General features: G+C 38.2%; 1 protein-coding gene across 4 annotated transcripts in view; it reads left to right on the forward strand.

The window, feature by feature from the left end:
- The window catches only part of RNF2 (ring finger protein 2), a 57046-nt gene extending 39617 nt beyond the window's left edge, over nucleotides 1-17429 (forward strand). For 3 of the 4 annotated variants that reach the window (NM_007212.4, XM_011509852.3, XM_011509851.4), the window contains exons 2-7: nucleotides 2378-2466; nucleotides 6405-6565; nucleotides 7887-8102; nucleotides 12898-13170; nucleotides 14617-14788; nucleotides 15026-17429. In NM_007212.4, the coding sequence (NP_009143.1) occupies nucleotides 2380-2466; nucleotides 6405-6565; nucleotides 7887-8102; nucleotides 12898-13170; nucleotides 14617-14788; nucleotides 15026-15127 (1011 nt within the window). In that variant the 5' untranslated portion in view covers nucleotides 2378-2379 and the 3' untranslated portion in view covers nucleotides 15128-17429. Of the gene's footprint in view, nucleotides 1-2377; nucleotides 2467-6390; nucleotides 6566-7886; nucleotides 8103-12897; nucleotides 13171-14616; nucleotides 14789-15025 lie in introns of those variants that run through there. The other variant, XM_005245413.4, reaches the window with a different exon arrangement.
- The last annotated feature ends 7886 nt before the right edge of the window (nucleotides 17430-25315 follow it).

Raw genomic sequence — 25315 nt, forward strand, 5'->3', positions numbered from 1 at the left:
GTCTCACTCTGTCACCCAGGCTGGAGTGCAGTGGCGTGATCTTAGCTCACTGCAAGCTCCGCCTCCCGGGTTCATGCTATTCTCCTGCCTCAGCCTCCCCAATAACTGGGACTACAGGCGCCCGCCACCGTGCCCAGCTAATTTTTTGTATTTTTAGTAGAGACGGGGTTTCACCGTGGTCTCGATCTCCTGACTTCATGATCCGCCTGCCTCGGCCTCCCAAAGTGCTGAGATTACAAGCGTGAGCCACCGCGCCCGGCCTGACCCTTCTTTCTTATACCAGTGTTTTGTATATCATTTAGTGCTCTCTCTAATTCCGTCTCTGTGTCCATGTTTAATTGCTTTAGTTCACATAGTTAATATCATACAGGTTTTTAACAACTTTCTCTCACTGATTTTATTGTTAGTTGCTTTCTAGTCTTCTACCTTCTATACTACTTGAGTTTTTGTGAACGATTTGATCATGTCACTCTCCTGTTTAAAACTTTTTTTTTTTTGAGACTAAGTGTCGCTCTGTCGCCCAGGCTGGAGTGCAATGGCGCGATCTCAGCTCACTGCAACCTCTGCCTCCCGGGTTCAAGCGATTCTCCTACCTCATCCTCCCGCATAGCTGGGATTACAGACGCGCACCACCACACCCGGCTAATTTTTGTATTTTTAGTAGAGACGGTTTCACCATGTTGGCCAGGCTGGTCTCGAACTCCTCACCTCAGGTGATCTGCCTGCCTTGGCCTTCCAAAGTGCTGGGATTATAGGGATGAGCCACCGCACCTGGCCCTGTTTAAAACTTTTAGTATCTTCCAATCACAAGCATACCCATACATGGTGCTGTAATTTGCTTAGAACCTGCTTTCTTTTATACTTCCATTCCACTGTAGTAATCTGTATTAATATATTTTTTTCCTTTAAGCTCTGTTGGATTGATAATCTCTTTCTTTTTAAGGTTTATTTCATCTCTACCAAAGCCTCCTTAACTCCTCAAATTCCCCAATCCACCTCTATAATTCCATATATTTTTGTCTGTACTCCTGCTTAGACTTTGTCTTATCGATTGTTGTTTATCTATTTGCATGCATTTCCTTCTAGACAAGGACCCTGGGGCAGTTCTGCTTGACTAGTGAGAAATATTTACTAAATATTAGGATGACTGGGGTCACTTCATTTTTCTGTGTCCCACAAGAGTGAGTTTTTTTTATCTACAACCCTCTTTCCCATATTTATACTAGATGTCCCCCTACTCAAAGACAAGCAGAGAAGTTGGTCTTATGCTCTTCAGTTCATTTATATCGGGAAAGGAGGCAGAATTAATCAGCGTGGTGAGGAGACTTTGAAATGATGTCAAATGGGGAACAATAGGAGGAACTAGGATATTTAGCCAAAAGTAAAGGAAAATCAGGTGGGATATGATACCACTTTCCAAATATTTGAAAGGCTGTCATGTAGAAAAATTATAGACTAATTGTTATTATTAGTTTGTCTTCAGAGGGCAGCTATAGGATGAATAGGTAGCAGTTTGGGTCTCAACATTAGGAAGAGCTTTCTGAACATGAGGTCGGGAATTTTTCATGAGTGAAGCTGTGAAAAGAGGCAGAATGACTAGTGGTTTAAAGTGCTCTAAAGTAGATTTTTTAACTTGGACAGCATTGGACTAGATAGCTATGCTGAAGAATCTGAAGTTTTCCTGATTTAGTTCTAAGTTCCATGACCATGAATTTCATAAAAATATTTATTGTTTTGGGTTAAGACAATCTTGTATACATTCAGCAGTAATTAAGCACTTTTGATATGCTAAGTACTTCCTGTATGCCAGCTCTTGGGCATTTGGAAGTCAGTAGTAGGCTTTTACTGTCAAGTAGTTCATATTTATAAGTGTAAAGATTTTGAGTTTTTCTTCTTTTTAATTTTTGAGAACCAGTGAATAATTTGTTTTTTTTATTCTCAAGATTAACAATTCCTAAAAATCAGTTTTGAGATTTACTTCCTATCTTAATCCATTTAGCCTGCTATAAAAAATACTTTAGGCTGGGTAATTTATAAGCAATAGAAATGTATTACAGTTCTGGAGACTGGGAATTCCAAGATCATGGCACCAGCAGATGCAGTGTCTGGTGAGGGCCTATTCCTTATAGCTGCTTCTCTGTGTCAGAACATGCTGGAAGGGCCAAAAGTTTCCATCAAGCCTCTTTTATAAAGGCACTAATTTCATTCATGAGGGTGGAGCCCTCATAACCTGATCACCTCCCAAAGTCCCCACCTCTTAATATTACTTCATTGAGATTAGATTTCAACGTAGGAATTTTGGTGGGACACATACATTCAGACCATAGCACTTCCCTTCCAAATACTAAAATTGTTTTTCTCTCTTCTTTATTTCCAGCAATGTCTCAGGCTGTGCAGACAAACGGAACTCAACCATTAAGCAAAACATGGGAACTCAGTTTATATGAGTTACAACGAACACCTCAGGTAATGACTAAGATGACTGCCAAGGGGCATATGAGACGTGTAAACTGGGATACATTTTTAGAACATGAAAACTTAAATAGAACATAGAGTAATAATAAATTTATATTCAAGCATTCCTGACTTCTGTATGTTGGCTAACACTTTATTCATTGATTGAACAAATAATCTGAATACTCTATACAAGCTTTTGTGGTAGGTACTGGGTGAACAGTGGTGAATAAAACAGATGTAGCACCAACCATGGACTTTACAGACATTGAAAAAGTACATATCTATAAAATTCACATGTGAGAAGTTGTAGAAAGTTGGGCAAGTCCTCCTTGCTGTAATAAGTACTGATAAGGCACCAAGGAAGACTGTTTTGAGATGATGGCAGACTAGGGGAGGAGCAGGTTTGAAGGCAACAAACATGCTTAACACTGGATTAATTTTGAGATTCCTATACAACAGGCAGGCAGAGATGCCAACTATAGATGATTTTTATATTAGTCTGAACTAAATACAAAATTTTAGGGATTGACAGCACATTTTAAGCAATAAGAATGGTTAAACTCATCCAGAGAGATGAGCAGAGGACCTATAACTTCATCCAGAGCTGTTTCAACATTTAGAAATTAGGTAATGGACAAGGAGCCAGTGAAGGAGACTGAGAAGAACATCCAGAGAAAAGGAAGGAAAAACAGGAGATTGAGAGAGAGGGGGGATTTAAAAGCTAAAGGAAGCCTTACCAACATGGAGAAACCCCGTCTCTACTGAAAATACAAAATTAGCCAGGCATGGTGGCACGTGCCTGTAGTTGCAGCTACTTGGGAGGCTGAGGCAGGAGAATCACTTGAACCTGGGAGGCGGTGGTTGCAGTGAGCCGAGATTGCGCCATTGCACTCCAGCCTGGGCGACAAGAACGAAACTCCGTCTCAAAAAAAAAAAAAGCTAAAGGAAGTATTTCAAGGAGGATGTAGTTAAAGTGTTTAACACTAGTGACAGGCTTAATAAGATGAAGGTTAGACAAGTGTAAATTAGACTTAACAATACAGTTGGCCCTCCACATACATGGGGTTCTGCATCTGTGGATTCAAGCAACCACAACTGAAAAAATCCAGGAAGAAAAATTTTCACAAAGTTCCAAAAACCAAAATTTGAATTTTCCATGTGCTAATAAGTACTATGTTGAATCCATGCAAGTGAGGTGCTGTATGGGCATTGTATTAAGTGTTAAAGTAATTTAGAGATGATTTAAAGCAGCATGCCCAGGGACCAGTTTCATCCATGTGCTAATAAGTACTATGTTGAATCCATGCAAATGAGGTGCTGAATGGGCATTGTATTAAGTATTAAAGTAATTTAGAGATGATTTAAAGCAGCAGTCCCCAGGGACCAGTTTCATGGATGATAGTGTTTCCATGGATTGGAGGTGGGTGGGTGGGTGGGGGATGGTTTCAGGATGAAACTGCACCACCTCAGATCATCAGGCATTAGATTATAATAAGGAGCATGCAGTCTAGATCCGTTGCATGTGCAGTTCTCAATAGGGTTCGGACTCTTACGAGAGTCTAATGCCACCACTGATCTGACAGGAGGCAGAGCTTAGGCAGTAATGCTTACTTGCCTGCTGCTCACCTCCTGCTGTGTGGTCTGGTTCCTAACAAGCCAATACCTGTCCATGGCCTGAGGTTCGGGACCCCTGATTTAAAGTATGTGGGAGAATATGCCTAAGTTATATGCAAACATCATGCCATTTTTTTATAAGGGACTTGAGCATCCAAGGATTTTGATATCTGTGGAAGTTCCTGGAGCCAATCCCCCATGGATACCAAGGGTCGACCGTATATACTTGGTGACCTTGACAAGAGCACGTTCACCTGAGTAGATTGTACAAGTTTGAGGGTTGATTGGAATCATGGTGCATTCTCATCATTGGTTCATGTGATGAATCAAGGATATGATAATTATATATATATGGCCCAGTAAGGGGAGGGTAGAAGTGACAAAAGATGAATAGGCAGTTCTTCAGAGAAATTCAGCTATGCAGGGGAGCAGAGAAATGGAGCAAAAACTGGAGACCAATGTGAAATTGAGTTTTCAATTGTGTTTATAAGATGGAGATAGAGGCCGGGCGTGGTGGCTCAGACATGTAATCCCAGCACTTTGGAAGGCCGAGGCCGGTGGATCACCTGAGGTCAGGAGTTTGCGGCCAGCCTGGCCAACATGGTGAAACCCTGTCTCTACTAAAAGTACAAAAAATTAGCCAGGCCTGGTGGTGCACACCTGTAATCCCAGCTACTCGGGAGGCTTTTTTTTTGAGACAGAGTATCGCTCTGTCACCTAGGCTGGCATGCAGTGGCGTGATCGCGGCTCACTGCAACCTCTACCTCCCAGATTCAAATGATTCTCCTGCTTCAGCCTCCCAAGTAGCTGGGATTACAGGCGTGTGCCACCATGCCCGGCTAATTTTTGTATTTTTAGTAGAGACAGGGTTTCACCATGTTGGTCAGGCTGGTCTCGAACTTCTGACCTTGTGATCCACCCGCCTCGGCCTCCCGAAGTGCTGGAATTACAGGTGTGAGCCATCGTGCCTGGCCGAGGCTGGTGAAATTTTTAGTTACACCAAGGTGGTTTTCCCTTTTTCTTTTCCCCTACAGTGCTACACATCTGCACAGGTACAGCCCTGGAGGAGAACATAGATGGTTGAATTTATCCAGGGTTGGGATTTTGTTAGGCATGTTCTAAAGAGGCAGAGGAGAACAGACTTGATTACTCTCTGGGTCATCAATATACTCTTGAGTGATAGTTTCCTAAATCAAGTTTGTCTAAGTGTTAAACTAAGGGAAAAATGAAAATTTTTTATTTCATATTTATATAGAGAGGCTGAAATCTAACAAACATTTTATTAATGCTTGAGCCCTTTATGAACAATAGCTATAGTTTCTATATTTTTCTTTGTGGAGTAATCCATCTTTGACCATATAAAGAAAGCACAAGTATGATGGACTGCCAGTGGAAACAGGAAGCACGGGAGCGTATTGAAAGCCACTTATTTATACCTGCATCTTCCTTTACAATTCTCGCCATACTAGAACTCTCCTCAATCCATAGGAGTTGATACTGGTGGCATTAGAGCTGAGTAATCTGTGTTCTCACTGCCAGCTTGTGGAGAGGGTAGTGAACCAAGTAGGATTCACTAATCATTCTGCAGCAGGGGAGATATGTCCTGAAATTTTACATTGGAACTCCAGATGCATTTTGGAGAGAAACATCTTTAGGCATGACAGTTAGATATAGCAATACATTTTATACTTTGGATATATTCTGGTTTAAATCAGCTCCTGGGTTAGCGTGAGAAGCTGACTACTTTGTATAAAATTGCTCTGTGGAAAAGAATTTTCGGGGTTCAAAAGTATTTTAAAATGAAATTCTATTAAGCTGTTTATAAACTAGAGAAACTTTTATTGGAATCTTGTTTTAATGGGCAGCATGAAACATAATTTATTGTGAAAATGGTGTAACTTTTGAAGGTGGACGTTTTCTGAGGGTTAATTTAGCCCTAACTTTCTCATTTTGCAGGTAAGAAGACAATGTTAAATAATTATTTAGACTCAGCTAGTTAATTTGACTAGAACTAGATCTAACCTAAGGTATATGATTCCAAATTCAATTTTTTGTATTATACCAGACTAATTTCCCACTAGTAAGCTTTTAAATACATTAATATGTTATCTTTAGCATTAAAGCAAGAGCATTTTTATAACAGTGGTGGTGAGGCTGAGGGGAGCTGTAGGCGATTATAGTTGAAACAAAATTAGCTGTGAGTTGACAATGGCAGTGGCTGGGTGATGGGTACATATATGTTTGTTTTTACCATTTCCAGTACTTTTATATGTTTGAGCTTGTCCATAATAAAAAATTAAGTAGCTTTTAATTTTAAAGTGACTCTTTTACAGGAGGCAATAACAGATGGCTTAGAAATTGTGGTTTCACCTCGAAGTCTACACAGTGAATTAATGTGCCCAATTTGTTTGGATATGTTGAAGAACACCATGACTACAAAGGAGTGTTTACATCGTTTTTGTGCAGACTGCATCATCACAGCCCTTAGAAGTGGGTATGTTGAAAAGAGTTGTTATACTAGGTACTTAATTGTACCACGAAAGTGCTTTCCAGGGTTTGAGAAATACATTTTCTTTTTTTTTTTTTTGAGACAGAGTTTCGCTTTTCTTGCCCAGGCTGGAGTGCAATGGCACGATCTTGGCTCACTGCAACCTCTGCCTCCTGGGTTCAAGCGATTCTCCTGCCTCAGCCTCCAGAGTAGCTGGGATTACAGGCATTGCCACCGTGGCCGGCTAGTTTTTTTTTTTTTTTGTATTTTTAGTAGAGACGGGGTTTCAACTTGTTGGCCAGGTTTCAGCATATTGAACTCCTGACCTCAGGTAATCCACCCGCCTCAGTCTCCCAAAGTGCTGGAATTACAGACATGAGTCACTGCACCTGGCCGAGAAATACATTTCCTTTCCTTTCTCCTTTTTCTTCTTTCCCCTTTCCCCTTTCCTTTCCTTTCCTGAGATGGAATCTTACTCTGTCACCCAGGCTGGAGTGCAGTGGCACAATCTCGGCTCACTGCAACCTCCACCTCCCGGGTTCAAGTGATTCTCCTGCCTCAGCCTCCTGAGTAGCTGGGATTACAGGCGTGTATCACCACGCCTGGCTAATGTTTGTATTTTTAGTAGAGGGGGGCTTTCACTGTGTTGGTCAGGCTGGTCTTGAACTCCTGACCTCGTGATCCACCCGCCTCGGCCTCCCAAAGTACTGAGATTACAGGCGTGAGCCACCGTGCCTAGCCGAGAAATACATTTTCTGTAAGTGTTTGATTGAAAACTAGAAATCTTTCTAAAGCCTAAGTTTTAATTGTAGGAAAATCTTTGTATTGAAATCGCTGATTTTTAGACACTTCATAAGATGAGTATTTGTTTTGAGGAAATTACAACGCATAAAACCACGATTTTTCCACTTAAGTATATAAAATAATATCCATATGAAAGTATTATTTCAGTAAAATAATTTATTACATATAAATTAACATATATATATTAGTGGGTATTTTTTCCTTGCAAAGCATGGATATCGGAAAGGGGAAATTTAAATTAGAAAAAATAGATTTTTATTTCTAAGATGGTTATATATAAATTATCTTGGGAAATACTCAAATTTTTTCTTTCGACGAGTGGTATAGAGGGTTTGAGGTTTCCAAAATCTTGCTTACCCACTAGTCAGATTTTCAAGGAAATTCAGGATAATTGGTTTACATTTCTGTGACTTATTAAAGGTATTGGAATAAAGGTGAATAACTATCCAGAAGCTGGGTATTTTTGTCTTTAGCCCAAAGATACTAGCATTGTTTACATTTGCTTTCCCCTCCTTTTATTTAGCAACAAAGAATGTCCTACCTGTCGGAAAAAACTAGTTTCCAAAAGATCACTAAGGCCAGACCCAAACTTTGATGCACTCATCAGCAAAATTTATCCAAGTCGTGATGAGTATGAAGCTCATCAAGAGAGAGTATTAGCCAGGATCAACAAGCACAATAATCAGCAAGCACTCAGTCACAGCATTGAGGAAGGACTGAAGATACAGGCCATGAACAGGTATATGGGAAAGAGGGTCAGAGAGGGTAGCTGTTTTTCTGAATACTTTATTAACAATTAAATTTACTTTTTGAAAAAGGTAAAATACAGTAACAAATAGTAGTACTGCATGATTACCTTTCGTGCAGGTATAATACATGCCTCCAGGCATAATAGGGTATTTCATTTAAAATACTAGAATCTCTGTTTTACTTACTTTTTTCTCAACTTATTCTATTTCTTCTCTTTATAGCAAAATTCCTTGAAAGAGTTGTAACTCCAATTCTTTTCCTATTCTTTTATGAACCCCCTCCAATCAGACATTCATCCTCACCACCCCATCATATTGCTCTTATCAATGTTATTAGTGATCTCTTCATTGTGCCATCTAATGGCTGATTCTCAGACCTCGCGTTACTTAGCAGCATTTGACACAATTAATTTCTCCCTTCTCTTTGAATAATTTTCTTCACCTGGCTTTCAGGAGGCCATAGTCTCTTGGTTCCCTTTGTATGTCATTAACTGTTCCTTTACTTGTTTCTTTTGTACTTTTTATTTCAATTTCCCCAACTGTGAAATATGGCGTGTCCCAGAGACCAGTGTTTGTTTCTCTTTTCAATACAAAATCTGTCTCCAAATTATCTTACTCAGTTTCATAGTTTTATTTACCATCTGTATGCTGATGACTCCCAAATTTATATATCCAGCCCGGACTTACCTGAATTTTAGACATTTCTCCATATGGGTATCTAATACTCATCTCAAACTTAACATGATGAATACTGAACTTACTCCCTACTTCTCTTCATTCTTACTCATTTTGGTTGATGGCAATTCCATCATTCTACTTGCTTAAGCCAAAAACTTTGGAGTCAGTTTTTTTTTTTTATTTTTTTTATTTTTTGAGATGGAGTCTTGCTGTGTCACCCAGGCCAGAGTGCAGTGGCACCATCTTGGCTCACTGCAACCTCTGCCTCCTGGGTTTCCAGCGATTCTCCTGCTTTAGCGTCTTGAGTAGCTGGGAGTACAGGTGCACGCCACCATGCCCAGCTAATTTTTGTATTTTTTAGTAGAGATGGGGTTTCACCATATTGGCGAGGCTGGTCTCAACTCCTGACCTTGTGATCTGCCTGCCTCGGCCTCCCAAAGTGCTGAGATTACAGGTGTGATCCACCACACCTGGCCTTGGAGTCGCTTTTAAATCTCTTTTACACATCCTGTATTCCAGTCCGTAAATAAACAAATATTTTTTGCTTTCTCCATAGTATATCCAGATTCATTCAGGCCACAACAATCTTTCATTTGATGTATTGAAGTAAGTTCCCAACTGGTTTTTCTACTTCCCATGCTTACTCCCACATAGTCTATTCTCAGCACAGCAGCCAGAGATACTGTTAAATTGAAAGGAAGATCATGGTTTTCCTTTGCTCAGAGCCCTCTAATAGCTTCTATTCACATTCAGGCTAAAAACTAAAAGACTTTAATGATGGTTTTTAAGACCCTATATAAGGTGGGCATTTTCCTTACCCTCATCTTCTTTTCCTCTCTGACATTATCGTCTGATTTATTCAGGCCTCAAGGAGAATCATTATTTTCCATAGAAGGAGATAATAGTAAAGTCCATCTCAGTCTAGTGGTTTTCACCTTGGCTGAACATCAGACTCACTCAGAAAACTTTCAAATCTCATGGCTTTAGGCATCATCCCGGTCCCAGTAATCAGCATCCAGGCATTTCTGCTTTTAAGTTTCCATAGATAATTCTGGAGTGTAGTCAAGATCAAAAACCACTGGCTTAAAGGTTAAAAGATGTGCTCCATTCTAACAGTATTAAACTGACCTACCACTCTGTTTACCAAAGTATAATGTACTAAATGTTAAATGTATTTATTTTTAGAAGAATTTTACATTCCTAAGCGTTGGAAGGACTTTAATGGTTGTTCAGTTTAGCCTTTTACTAAAAGCAAGACTCTCCTTGTAAATATTCTTTTGGTTTTGCTTGTACATTTCTAGTGGTGGGGCTGTATGATAGGCACTCCTTTCTTTTGTTGGCAACTTTATTACAGCTTCCTTACTGTTCTTCAGACTCACCAAGCATGCTTCTGCCTCAGAGCCTTTGTACTTACACTACTCTATTTCAGGAACCTTCTTCCAAATAATCCACATGGCACACTACCTCACTTTCTTAGCAGGTATCTGCTTAAGTTCTCATCTTCCATTCTAGGACTCTGTAATTCCTTACCCTCCCTGCCTCATTTTTTTCCCATAGCACGTATCACTCTCTCATGTGTTACCTGCTACACTAGAATTATGACCCCTAAGAGGGAAGAGACTATGTCAGTATCATTGATTCTTATTAACACCATTATTTAGAACCATGCTTGGCTTAAAGTAGTAGCTGCTCAGTAAATATTTATCTATGTGTGAATTTTTAAGTTCTTCCTTTATATTGAATTAAAATTAGTCTCTTGTGTGCAGCAGTCTGGGTTTGTCTTATGTTGAAATACTTATGTTGACTTCTACATACATTTCAGATTCTACTTCTGTGTTTACAAATATTTTTATGTAGGTATATGTTCGTATATGTCCCTCTAAAGGCTTAATATTCACATTCCTCATTTCTTTTTTGTTCCTCATATGACACTCAAGATTGGTGTCATTCTTAAAATGCTACCATCAGGACAGTATGTAGTATTATAGACGTGATTTGATAAATGTAGGATATAATAGACTTAATGTTCTTTATATGAACATATTCTTTAAACGCTGCCTGCAGTTACATTAATATAGCTCTGTCACATCAATCCTTTTTTGGAAAGGTGTGGGATAAAAATAAATATATTGAGTCTTAATAAACCTGTTAGGTCACTGTAATTTATGGTCAAATAACTTTTCATTTGCTTTAGTTGTGGATTTTAGAATATATTTTAGTCTTTATGTTGTGCTATCAATTTTTTGTCCCATTATTTTAGCCCGTTCATACCTTTTTTTCAAAAATTGTGGTAAAAGACATATAACAGAATTTTCCATCTTAACCATTTGTAAGTGTAGAGTTCAGTAGTGTTAAGTACATTCTTTTTTTTCTTTTAAACGATTGGCTCCTCAAAGCTGAACACTCACAATGTTGTGCAGCCAATCTACAGAACTCTTTTCATCTTATAAAATTGAAACCCTGTATCCATTAAGCACTAACTCCTCATTTCTCCCTCCCCCCAGTTCCCGGTAACTGTCATTCTACTTTGTTTTATGAATTTGACTTCTTTAGATACCTCACATAAGTGAAATCGTGCTGTATTTGTACTTTTGGGGTTTTTTTTTTGTTGTTGTTATTTACTGTTATTTATTTCTCTTTTTACTTGACTGTAGGCCACCAAGTTACGTATTTGTACTTTTGTGCCTGGTTTATATTACTTAAATGACCTCAGCATGTCTATTCATGTTGTATGTGGCAGGATTTCCTTCCTTTTTAGGACTGAATAATCCATTGTGTGTGCTTATGTATTTTTGAATCATAGTTTGTTATTTAACATACTAGTCATACTCTCTTGGTTTTGCAATGATCTATGAATTTTATAAGCAGGATTTTTTTTTTTTTTTTTTTAAAGCATGAGTTCTTGAGCATCTTTCCTAACCATTGGACTGTTATTTCTTTGTTCTGGCAGTAAACATAATGACAATATTCTTACAAGTGCAAGGCATTCTTTCATATTTCTTTTTCATTATATATTCCTTTTTTCTTATCTATACAGGTAGGGAGACAGGCAGTGTGGTAGGAAGAATGTGGTCTGGTTCACATCCTAGCTCTAGTTCTGGCACTTATTAGCTGTATAACTGGAGGCAAATTATTTAATCTTGTACCTGAGTTTTCTTTGCTTTTCTCAACTAGAAAATGACATTAATGGTAACTGCCTTGACAGGTTATTTTGAAGAGTAAACAAGATTGTATGTATAAAGTGCCTTGCCCGGTAATTAGCTTTAGTATCTGAGCTTGTTAGAGAGCAGCTTCTGTGTCCACGTTGGTTATTTAGATACCATCGCATTTTCCTCAGTCATTTTGTATCGCCTTAGCTGACTTGGCGGAAGGTCAGCAGGGAGGAAGTACTTACTATTCTTCTTAACTTTTGTTTCCTTAAGAATTTCTTTAAAGAGGCATAAATATCTTCCCTAAGAACTTTTACATTTTCATATTTGAATCATGCCTTTCTTCAGACCTGTAACCCCATGAGAGAAAATGATCAGAATATAAAGATTTGTCAATTAATTCTTATAGTCTTTTGTTTAATAAAGAAAATTATTTTTAAGAGATAGCGTCTTACTCTGGCCCAGGCCAGAGTACAGTGGAGCCATCCTAGTTTACTGCGCCCTTCAACTCCTGGGCTCAAGCCATCCTCCTGTCTCAGCCTCCTGAGTAGCTGAGATGATAGGTGCACCACCACGCCCAGCTAATTAAAATTTTTTGTTGTTGGTAGAGACAGGGTCTCACTTTGTTGCCCAAGCTGGTCTCAAATTCCTGGCCTCAAGCTCCTCCCATCTTGGCCTCTCAATGTGTTGGGTTTACAGGTGTGAACCACCGTGCCTGGCCAGTAAAATTATTAAGTGAATAGAAACATTCGTTAAATTATTTAAATGTTTGCCTGTGAGCAAGAGAGATTTTTTAGACCTTTCAGGAACATGTGGGAAACAATATCATCCAACTCAGAGTAAATTCAGTTACCAGTATTTTTTGGAATTCTAAAGTTCAGTAGCAAACATGCTTCAGATTTGTTGCTTTAAAGGCCTAAAAGTAAATTTTATGCATCCTTTTTTCCCCCTTGACTAGACTGCAGCGAGGCAAGAAACAACAGATTGAAAATGGTAGTGGAGCAGAAGATAATGGTGACAGTTCACACTGCAGTAATGCATCCACACATAGCAATCAGGAAGCAGGCCCTAGTAACAAACGGACCAAAACATCTGATGATTCTGGGCTAGAGCTTGATAATAACAATGCAGCAATGGCAATTGATCCAGTAATGGATGGTGCTAGTGAAATTGAATTAGTATTCAGGCCTCATCCCACACTTATGGAAAAAGATGACAGTGCACAGACGAGGTAAGTGTGTGGATTAGTTTCAGATTATCTAAATTCAGAATGTTTAATTTGGAGGTAAAAGGCAGTCTTGTATAAGAAGTAGGAGCAATATTTGTCATCCCATTGATTGCAGGGGTTCAGTTACTAGCTGCCTAGATTGTTGTTTTCTTCCTTCCTCCCTCATGTGCTTTCCACCCAAAATTGCACATCTGAAAGGAATGACTCTCCTTGGTAGAGAAGGTAAAGGGGCCTATTCAAATTTCTCAGCAATGATACTAGAGTACCAATAGGCTCTAAAACTCATGCTGGCAAGAATGGCTACGTTACCACTGTATCTCCAGCACACTGCTTGCTGTTGAGTACAGATAAGCATCAAATATTTATTGAATGAGGGATTTAATGATATATTATGTTTTAAAAATCCTCAAATTAACTTTTTTTTTTTTTGAGATGGAGCCTTGCTCTGTCGCCAGGCTGGAGTGCAGTGGCGCGATCTCGGCTCACTGCAGCCTCCGCCTCCTGGGTTCAAGCGATTCTCCTGCCTCAGCCTCCCGAGTAGCTGGGACTACAGGCTCATGCCACCAAGCCCAGCTAATTTTTGTATTTTTAGTAGGGACAGGGTTTCACCATGTTGGCCAGGATGGTCTCGATCTCTTGACCTCGTGATCCGCCTGCCTTGGCCTCCCAAAGTGCTGGGATTATAGGCCCAAGCCACTGTGCCCGGCCTCTTTTTTTTTTTTTTTTTGAGATGGGAGTCTTGCTCTGTCTCCCAGGCTGGAGTACAGTGGCACAATCTTGGCTGACTGCAACCTTTGCCTCCCGAGTTCAAGCGATTCTCCTGCCTCAGCCTCCCAAGTAGCTGGGATTACACTCACCACAACACCTGGCTAATTTTTGTATTTTTAGTAGAAATGGGGTTTCACCATGTTGGCCAGGCTGGTCTCGAACTCCTGACCTCAAGTGATCCACCTGCCTCAGCCTCCCAAAATGTTGGGATTACAGGCGTGAGCCACCACACCCGGCCCAAATGAACATTTCTATGGTTAGTCTTAAAAGACATTTTAATTCTTAGACAATAAGAAATTTGCTTCTATTCTGTTTCTGTTGCTGCTATAGCCAGCAGATTCTGGTCATTAGGGTTTGGGGGGTATGTTCCTTTTTTTCCCCTTAGTACTTTGTGTATTTCTGTTTGATTTTTGTCACTGTGTATCTCATTTTATAGAAGGTAAGGTAGGTAAAGCTTTTGTGACCTGACAGTAAGATATTGAGTATTTACTTTCCCCTCTTCTGTACCTATCAATAAGAAATTTAGATTGTAGAGCAGTAAATTTCTGATATTATTTTGTCAATAATTGAGACATTGCCATTTTACTTAGTTTTTAAGAAATGTATTAGTTCCATAATTTAAGTACATTTTTCTCATTGGCATATTCTAGAAATGAAATTTTTAATGATTTATTCTTCTAGATACATAAAGACTTCTGGTAACGCCACTGTTGATCACTTATCCAAGTATCTGGCTGTGAGGTTAGCTTTAGAAGAACTTCGAAGCAAAGGTGAATCAAACCAGATGAACCTTGATACAGCCAGTGAGAAGCAGTATACCATTTATATAGCAACAGCCAGTGGCCAGTTCACTGTGAGTATTTAAAATAATAGACTGTTGAAACTGGGAGCACACTGACCAACTAACTGAGTGGCAAGTGGTGGGGTAGAATCTAATAAATAATGTAAAAAACCGTAACAGTGTTAAGTGACAAGTAGTTATTCCTAAGATTTGAAAAAAAAAGATTCTGTGGACTTCCATTTTAGTTTCATTTCATTATTATTGTGGTTTGTGCAGTTTTCATAATTTTTTCTTTCTTTTTTGTTTTAGGTATTAAATGGCTCTTTTTCTTTGGAATTGGTCAGTGAGAAATACTGGAAAGTGAACAAACCCATGGAACTTTATTACGCACCTACAAAGGAGCACAAATGAGCCTTTAAAAACCAATTCTGAGACTGAACTTTTTTATAGCCTATTTCTTTAATATTAAAGATGTACTGGCATTACTTTTATGGACAGATCTTGGATATGTTGTTCAATTTTCTTTCTGAGCCAGACTAGTTTACGCTATTCAAATCTTTTCCCCTTTATTTAAGATTTCCTTTTTGGAAGGGACTGCAATTATTCAGTATTTTTTTCTTTCCTTTAAAAAAATATATCTGAAGTTTCTTGTGTTTTTTTTTTTCCCCACAAAGTGTGTTTCCACTTGGAGCACCATTTTGACCCAGGAATTTTTCATAGTTTCTGTATTCTTATAAGATTCAGTTGGCTGTCCTTTTCCTGCTCCCCTCAAAAGATTTTTAGTCATACAGAATGTTAAATATTATGTATTCTGACTTTTTTTTTCCCCCGGAGTCTTGTATATTTATAGTTTTCTATATAAACTGTAGTATCTTCATGAAGACCCAAGGCTCAAATTTACTGTCCTTAAAAACAATTCTCATAGGATTATTCTTTTCATGGTATTTTCTTCCATAATATCTCATTTTAAAAAGAAGTTCTTTATGAACTTAGTGTCCATTGTCATGCAATGTTTTTTTTTTTCCATTCTTTTTCCCTGTAATTTTGGAATTTCTGGTCCTGGGAAGAATCAAACAAAATCTTAAGTTCTATGAGAACTTGGTTCATTGACATATTCTGCTGAAGAAAGAAAAATTAAATTGGTAGTAAAATATAGTCTTCAAGTATACGTTTGAGAGTGCTTTTTTTTGTATTAGTTCTGCTGTCACTTCATTTCCTGTATTATATGTGATGTTTTTCCCCATTAAAATACCAGAGATAATGGAGATATTTTGCACTTTAGCCTTGATGAAAAGTACAAGATATGTTCAAAGCTTCCCTAATTTTTTTCTTATTTGTAGCCACATAAGTTTCAAGAATAACATGGCACACAGAACAATGGAAAAAAGTTTGTTTCCATTGGAAAATTATATCATTTTGGGTTGCCACATCAGTTTATAAATTTGGCGCTCTTTTAATTACACTCTGTAGAAGGTTAATAGAGCTTGAGCCCTGCTTTAATATGTAGTGAAAGATAATTCTGTAGAAAAACGTCAGCCAGTAGGGTAAAGTCATTCTACTGTTCTTAATTTTTATATTGAGGAACAATATTGGGTGTTTGGGAGCCAGAAAGCTTTGTTGACAGATCAGAAATAAGATTGACTTGGGTGTTATATTTCATCTCTCTCCAGACTCTAGGTATATTTCCAACTTTATATATCACAGTATTTAAAAAGACATGTTTGCATTGAGAAATTAACCCTAAAGGGTTTTCAATAGGGTGTAGACCTCCAGTACCTTTGTAACTAAAGTCTGTCTAGTCATTGTAAATATTTATCTGTCAGTTTTGACAGATTGGGGCCAGCTTGATGTTTTAAATCTTCAGCCCGGTATGAAAACTTAAAGGTATATATTCAATTTTTTACCATTTTATGGAAAATATTTAAAATCTGTTTTTACAGGGTTTTTTTTTTTTTTTTTTTTTTGTAATCTGTGCCATGAAATTTGAAAACCACCAAAAATCAAGGGAACTTTTATATATTCAATTCCTTTTCTGGTGTAATGTTAAAGTTGTATAGATTATTAATGCATGCCCACTGAATATAACCCTGGTTTTGTGATAAAACTGCTTAGATTTTGTTGATGACATTAGATTAGTAGTTGCATTAAATAACTAAATTCCCATTGTGATTAATTGAAATTTTGTCTTTAAGCAGAGAGTTATTTGTGACTATAAGCTTTGTGCTTAGAGAATGTATGTGTTTTTATCTGTCAGTATGGGAGGATATAAACTGCATCATTAGTGAAATTATTGGTTGTGTAATCCTTTGTGAAATATAATTCTAGGTATTTGATAGGGTATTGAGTGTATTTTGTGTGTGTGTGGATGTGTGTTTTGGGGTACGGGGAGAGGCGATGCTATTGGCCATCACTACCAACCAGGGTTTCAAAAAGTATTACCTAAGTAATTTCTTTTATCACTATCTCAACTGAGGAAGAAAAGGCTCACCACAAGTGGTGTGAAGGCTTTGGGTACTTAGTTCTAAATTTTTTTATGGTAACATATACATAGCCACATTTACAGTTTTAACCATTTTAAGGCATGTAATTCAGTGGGGTTAGGTACATTCACAATGTTGTGTAATGATCACCGCTGTCTACTTGTAAAACTTTTTCATCACCCCAAACAGAAACTCTGTGTGCAATTAAAGTAATGCATTTCTCTTCTTCTTAACCCCTAGCAACCTCTATTCTACTTTCTCTTTTTGAATTTGTCTATTTTAGGTGCCTCATGGCACCTGTGGAATCACACATTATTTTCAAGGTTCATGTGATAGCATATATCAGAATTTCATTCCTATTTATGGCTGAATAATATTGTATGTATGTGCCACATTTTGTTTATCCATTCATCTGTTGATGGAGACTTTTGGTATTGTGAATAATACTGCAGTGAACATTATTATAGAAGTATATAATTGAGTTCTGCCTTCTGTTATTTTGGGTATATATGAAGGAATAGAATTACTGCATCATATGATAATTCTATGTTTAATTTTTTGAGGGACTCCAAACTGTTTTCCATAGCAGCTTCATTATTTTACATTCCTGCCACCAATGAACAAGCGTTCTGGCTTTTCCGTATCCTCTGTAACACTTGTTATTTTCTTTTCTTCTTTTTAAAATAACTATATTAATGGGTATCCTTATGATAGCTGTCTTACTGGATGTCTCCTTTCATTGTGGTTTTAATTTGCATTTCCCTAACAGCTTGTGATGCTGAGCATCTTTTTCTGTACTTGCTGGCCATTTGTGTATTTTCTGTGGAGAAATGTGTATGTGTATTCAAGTCCTTCACCCATTTTTGACTGGGTTCTGTTATTGTTGAGTTGTGGGCATTCTTTATTCTAGTTAGTAATCCATTATCAGATACATGATTTGCAAATATTTTCTCCCATTCTTTGGGTTTTCTTTTGATTCCCTTGATAGTGTCCTTTGATGTACAGAATTTTTTTTATTTTGGTGAAGTCTAGTGTATCTGTCTTTTTTCTTTTGGCTATGCTATTGGTGTCATATTCAAGAAGATTGCCAAACCCAATGTCATGAAGATTTTCCTCTTTTAAGAGTTTTATAGTTTTAGCTCTTAGTCTTTGATCCATTGTGAGTTTTGTATATGGTGAAAGGTCAGTGTCCAGCTTTGTTCATTTGTATTTGGATATCCAGTTTTCTTAGCCTTTTCTCCACTGAATGATCTTGGTGCTCTTGTTCTAAATCATATGTGAGGGTTTATTTCTGGATGTTGTATTCCATTGGTCTATATGTTTGTCCTTATGCCAGTACTACACTATTTTGATTACTTTAGCTTTGTAATAAATTTTGCATTATATCATTTCTAACCCTTTGAACCTTAGGAAGACAGTATTTCCTTTGTGTACATTTGAGAAGACAAAGGCTCAGGATTCTGATTTGGATAACTAAATGTGAAGTAACTGAAATGCCAAGTGAGAAAAGGCATCTCTTAAATTCCCATTTCTATTCAGAAAAGTTTAAGTTTCCCCCAAAATAGCCTCAAAACTCCCCAAAAATCACACTCCAGTGAATTATCACTCTTGGCCTTTCTGGAACCTCACTGAAAAGCTCTTTTTCTCTGAGCGTGTCTTTGACTGGACTCAGCTCACTTTGCTTAAAAAGCTCTATCTTCATGGTGTTTGTAAAAAATCGTTCCTGCCGTTGTTTAACACAGCAGTTGCCTGAGGCATGTGGGCCTAAAAAGCAGCTGACTAAAAAGTAGGAAATGTAGAGGGCTTTGAAAAGTTCCATTATGTTCCTGGGAATCTCGAAGGCCACACATTTGTGCAAGACTGTTGGCATGCCCAAGAAAAAAATATAAGGCACTAACCTCACCTGTAGCAGACCCTGAGGCTCTGTGCCAGCAGGAAGTGAAAGGTAAGCCACAGTTGTAAACTACATGCTGGAGTTTTGAAGGCATATCCCAGACAGAGCACTTTAGCAAGACAGAGACTTACTGGTTCAAAGCATTTAAGGAAATCTGTCTAGTTATTAGCTGACCACTAAGCTAATGAAGCAGACTTCAGTGGTCACAGCAGAGAATGCAAACATTACAGAGTTAGTCAAAAGAAGGCCACTAAACAGCAAACACAACAAACCCTGGGGACCTAAAGGGATTCTCATTTCCAGAGTTGCCACATTGTATTATAGTCTTCCCCCATTATCCAGTTTTGCCTTCGTGGTTTGTTACCCATGGTCAACTGCACTCTGAAAATACTAAATGGAAAATCCCGGAAATAACTCATAAGTTTTAAACTGTACACCGTTCTGAGTAGCCTGAGGAAATCTTGTGCCGTTCCACTTGGGACATGAATTATCCCCGTGTCCAGCATATCTTTGCTGTATATGCTACTCGTTCATTAGTCACTTAGTACCTGTTAACGGTTCCCAGATTGATTGTCATGGTATTGCAGTGTTTGTGTTCATTTTACTTAATGGCCCCACATTGCAAGGGTAGTGATGTTGGCAATTTGGATATACCAAAGAGAAGCCATAAACTGCTTCCTTTAAGTGAAAAGGTAAGAGTTCTTGACTTAATAAGGAAAGAAAACATAAATTATGCTGAATTTGCTAAGATCTATGACAAGAACAAAGCTTTTTTCTATGTCAAAGTTGAGACAGATCTCATGAAATTGTGAACAGTATATTATGATTGTATATTATTAGTTGTTGATCTCTTACCATGCCTAATTTATAAACTTTACCATATATGTAGGTGTAGAAAAAAAGAAGTACAGGGTTTGGTACAGCCTGTGGATTCAAGGATCCACGGCGGGGTGGGGGGATCTTAGAACATACCCTCAAGGATAAAGGGGGGACTATTTTAAAAGCCTAGTTTTCAACAGAAAATTACAAGACCTATAAAGAAACAGAAGTGTCTGTGAGGAAGTCCAGATGTTGGACTAATTAGACAAATACTTTGTCAGCTTTTAAAAACATGTTCAGAGAACTAAAAACCATGTCTGAACTAAATATGAGAGGAATGTCTCACCAAATAAATATCAATAAATTACGAACAAACCAAATGGAAATGTGGATTGAAAGATAAAAGAATCATAATTTAAAATTCACTAGAGTCTCAACAGTGGATTTGAACTGGTAGAAGAAATAATCAACTCGAAGACAGGCCAATTGAGAATATCCTGTCTAAAAAACGAGTGAAAAAGAGTGGAACCTCAGAGACATGTAGGACACCATCAATTGTACTAGCACCCAGAATTGGAGTTCCAGAAGGAGAGGAGGGAAAGGGGCAGAAAGTGTATATTTGAAGAAATAATTGCCAAAAGCTTTAAAAATTTGATGAAAAACATTACCTGCACATTTAAAAAGCTCAACGAACTACCATATAAATTCAAAGAGATCCACAAAACTAAGAGTACTATGAACAGTATGAGAAAATCAATTCATAAACAAGGGGTCCTAAATAAGATTAACAGCTCACTTCTCACAATAAGCTATCACAGAGGCCAGGATGCAGTGAATGACATTCCCAAGTACTGAAAGAAAAAAATAGCCAAGAAATCTGTATCAGTAAAATTATTCCACAAAAACGGAGAAATTAGTAAGACATGCCCATATAAACAAAAACAAAGACTATCACTAGCAAACCTTAACCACAAGAAATACTAACGGGAGTTCTTTAGGCTGAAATGAAAGATTAGATAGTAACATGAATCCACACAAAGCAATAGCACTGGAAAAGGTAACTGAATAGTTAAAATATAAAAGACAGTATAAATGTGTTAGCTCAGGCTGCTATAACAAGGTATAGACCAGACAGCTTAAACAACAGATACTTTCTTCTCATTCTGAAAGCATGGAGGCTAGAAAGAAGTTGCAGAATATTTTCCAGGTGCTGAAAGATAACTGCTAATCCAGGTACCTTAGCAAAAGTATCCTTCAGTAATGAAGGGGGAAGAATTTGCTGCCGGCAGACCTGCCCAAAAAAGAATGGCTAAAGGAAATTCTATAAACAGGAAGGACATGATAATAGAAGGAACTCTGGAACATGATATAGGGAGAAAGGACGCAATGAGAAAAAAAAAATGACTAAGTTGAATACACCCTCCTCCTAAGTTATCTAAATGTTGCTTGATGGCTGAAGTAAAAGTTATGCCATTGATGTGGCTCAAAAGGTATGTAGAGTTAATATTTAATGATTATAAACAGGAATAGTTAAAGGGAGGTAGGTTTTCTATACTTCACTTGAATTGGTAAAATCAGTAGACTGAAAAGTTATTTTTATATAATAGAGCAACCACTAAAAGTGGTTTTATAGTGTTTACAGAGAGATACACTCTAAAAGTATAATTCTGAAAAATGTTCAAGTAACACAGGCAGAAAATGAAAAAAAATGCAAGTACAAAACCAATAAAAGCCCACTTAAGCCCTAATATATCAATAATTACATGAAATGTAAATAGTCTAAATATACCAATTAAAAGATTGGGAGTTTAGTTCAAAAACATGACCCAGCTGAGGCTGGGCACGGTGGCTCACTCCTGTAATCCCAGCACTTTGGGAGGCTGAGGCAGGTGGATCACGAGGTCAGGAGATTGAGACCATCCTGGCTAACATGGTGAAACTCTGTCTCCAATAAAAATACAAAAACATTAGCCGGGCGTGTTGGCGGGTGCCTGTAGTCCCAGCTACTCGGGAGGCTGAGGCAGGAGAATGGCATGAACCCGGGAGGTGGAGCTTGCAGTAAGCTGAGATCTCGCCACTGCACTCCAGCCTGCGTGACAGAGCGAGACTCCGTCTCAAAAAAAAAGCAAAAACATAAGCTAACACAACACACCTGATATTAAAAAGGTAATTTACATAGCCCTCTAGTATTAAGGAAATTGAATTCACAAATTAGTAACTCCTCAAAGAAACCTTCAAGCTCCAATGATTTCACTGGAGAATTCTGCCAAACGTTTAAAGAGGAATTAATGCCAATTCTACACAATCTCTTTCAAAATATAGGGGAGGAGGGAACACTAACCAATTTATTTCATGAAGTTATTATTGCCCTAAACCAAAACCAGACAGTTAAGAAAATCACAGATCTGCATTTTTGATGAATATAGACTAAAAATCCAAAAAAAATTGGTGAGTAGAATTCAATAATATATACAAAGAATTATATATTATGACTTGGAGTTTATTCCAGATGCAAGGCAGTTTCAGTATTCAAAATTCAATTAATCTACCATATTAAGAGGCTAAAAAACAAAATCACAAATCAATTGATGCAGAAAAAGCAGCTGATGAAATTCAACACCCAGTCACGGTTTATAAAACTCTCAGAGGCCTGGCATGGTGGCTCATGCCTGTAATCCCAGCACTTTGGGAGGCCCAGGCGGGTGGATTGCTCAAGCCCAGGAGTTTGACCAGCCTGGGCAACATGGGGAAACCCTGTCTCTACAAAAACCAGCTGGGTGTGGTGGCACGCACCTCTAGTCAGTCTCAGCTGCTTGAGAGGCTGAGGTGGGAGGATCACCCAAGACTAGGAGGTTGAGGCTGCAGTGAACCCTGATTGCACCACTGCACTTCAGCCTGGGTGACATAGTGAGACCCTGTCTCAATAAAAACAAACAAAAAAACAACTTTCAGAACATTAGGAATAGAGGGCAACTTCAACTTGACAAGCAGCATCTACAAAAAAAATTCTATAGCTAACATTTAATTGTGAAACACTTCAGTTCTCCCTGTGATTGTGAACAAGTATGCTCTCATTACTTATTCAACATGGAAATTCTAAACAAGAGAAGAAAGAAAAAAAATGCATACAGATCAAAAAGGAAAAGCTGAAACTATCCCTATTTGCAGATGGCATGATTGTCTACATATAAAATCTTCAGAAATTTGTAGAAACACTTTTAGAACTAATAAGTAAATTCAGCAAGGTTGAAAGATACTAGATAAACATAGGAAAAAATAATATTTCTATATATTAGTGATTAACACATGGACACTGAAATTTTAAAATATCACTTATAAATTTTTTTTAAAAAAAAGACTTCTTTGTAAATATACAAGTAAAAAAAAGAAAGTAGCTTTTAGCCCAGGAATGCAAGGTTGGTTCAACAAACAAGTCAACTGATGTAATCTACCAATAAAGTACAAAACTGACATAATCATCCATTACAGATCCAGAAAAAGCATTTGAAAAAAAACTTCAGCCTTTTATGATTAAAAAAAAACTCAACAGTATAGGAATAAAAGGAAACATATTTAAAAAGGGACATTTAAGAAAAAACCAGCTAATTTCATACTTAATGGATGAATGTTTACATCCTATCTTAATTTTCTAAGGTTTTCATAAATTATTCCAAACTTGGTGGCTTAAAGTTATTCTCACAGTTCTGAAGGCCAGAAATCTGAAATCGAGGTGTCAGTAGGGTTGATTTCTTCTGGAAGCTGTGAGAGAGAATCCATTCCATTATAGTGTCCTAGCTTCTTGTGGCTGCTGGCAATTTTTGGCATTCCTTAACTTTTGGATGCATCACTCCAGTCTTTGCCTCCATCTTTTTTGTTTTTTTTTTTTTTTTTAGGTGGAGTGTTGTTCTATCACTCAGGCTGGAGTGCAGTGGCATAATCTCAGCTCACTGCGGCCTCTGCCTCCCAGGTTCAAGCGATTCTCCTGCCTCGGCCTCCTGAGTAGTTGAGACTACAGGCATGTACCACCATGCCCAACTAATTTTTTGTACTTTTAGTAGAGATGGGGTTTCACCATGTTGGCCAGGCTGGTCTCAAACTCCTGACCTCAGGCGATCCACCAGCCTCAGCCTCCCAAAGTGCTGGGATTACAGGCATGAGCCACCATGCCCAGACTTTGCCTCCATCTTCACATGGCCTTCCCCTCTGTGTCTATGTCTTCTTTTCTGTCTAAGGACACCTGTCATTTAGGATTTAAGACCCACCTTAATCCAGGATGATTTCATCTCAAGATCCTTAATTACATTTGCAAAGACCCTTATTCCAAATAAGGTCACATTCTGAAGTCTGGGTAGACATGTCTTTTGAGGGCCACTATTCAATTCATTATAGTACACTCTCAGATCCCTCAAAATTCAGGTCTGTCCCACATGCAAAATACCTTACTTCAATCCAACATCCCCCTGAATCAACCTATTCCAGCATCAACCTGTACATCTAATACCTCTTGTAAATATTTTTAACTCAAAAAGTCCCAAATCTTATCTAAATCAGGTATGGGTGATACTCTGGGTATGATCCATCCTAGGGCATAATTCCTTTCTAGCTGTAGACCTGTGGACTAGAAAACCAACTATCTGCTCCCTAAATACAATGGTGGGACAAGCACTGGATAGCCAATCCCATTCCAAAAGGGAGAAGGAGGAATGAATAAAGGTATCACAGATCCTAAACAAGTTCAAAACCCAGCAGAGAAAATCCCATTAGGTTTGAAAGCTTGAGAATTACCCTCTGCAGCTTAATCCTCTGCTCTCCAGAATCAGTGTTCCACACTCTGGGTCCATGGAGGCTCCTTTGGCTGTCCAGAGGGGTCACCTCTCTGCCCTCTGCTTCTGCATCTGTGCCTCTGGTTTTGGAGTCATTCTTTTTTTCTCTCAAAAGGTAGCACATGTTTGCAATTGAGTAGCCCTATCAGCCTGTTCCTGCCTGTAGAATTTTGAGAATCTAACAACCTTTTTTCATTTTGTATAGTCTCAGTCTCTTTTTATTCTAAGCCAGCAATGTTTCTGCTGCTATAACATTCTCAAAATCCTTGTCTATCTCCCATGTCTCATCCCATGGAGGTCCATGCCATTAGACAAGAGAGATCTTGTCTTGATAGATAGACCTATCTATCTCTTGACAGATCCTTCCTGGATAACCCCATCTCTATTCCTGGCTTTTGCTAAGACAGTTGATTACATCCATGAGTCACACACCTAATCTCTTCAGCAACAGGTTGTCCAGTCAGTCCCTTGGCCCTCTTTCCACAGCATGCCTTTCCAACAGTAGATTTGTTACTTAGCATCCTCTGCAATCAGGATAGGATGAGACTCTTGAAAATCATCAAGTGCTGGTTGCTTTTTGCTT

Source organism: Homo sapiens, chromosome 1 (genome assembly GCF_000001405.40).
Source record: "Homo sapiens chromosome 1, GRCh38.p14 Primary Assembly".
Classification (NCBI taxonomy): domain Eukaryota; kingdom Metazoa; phylum Chordata; class Mammalia; order Primates; family Hominidae; genus Homo; species Homo sapiens.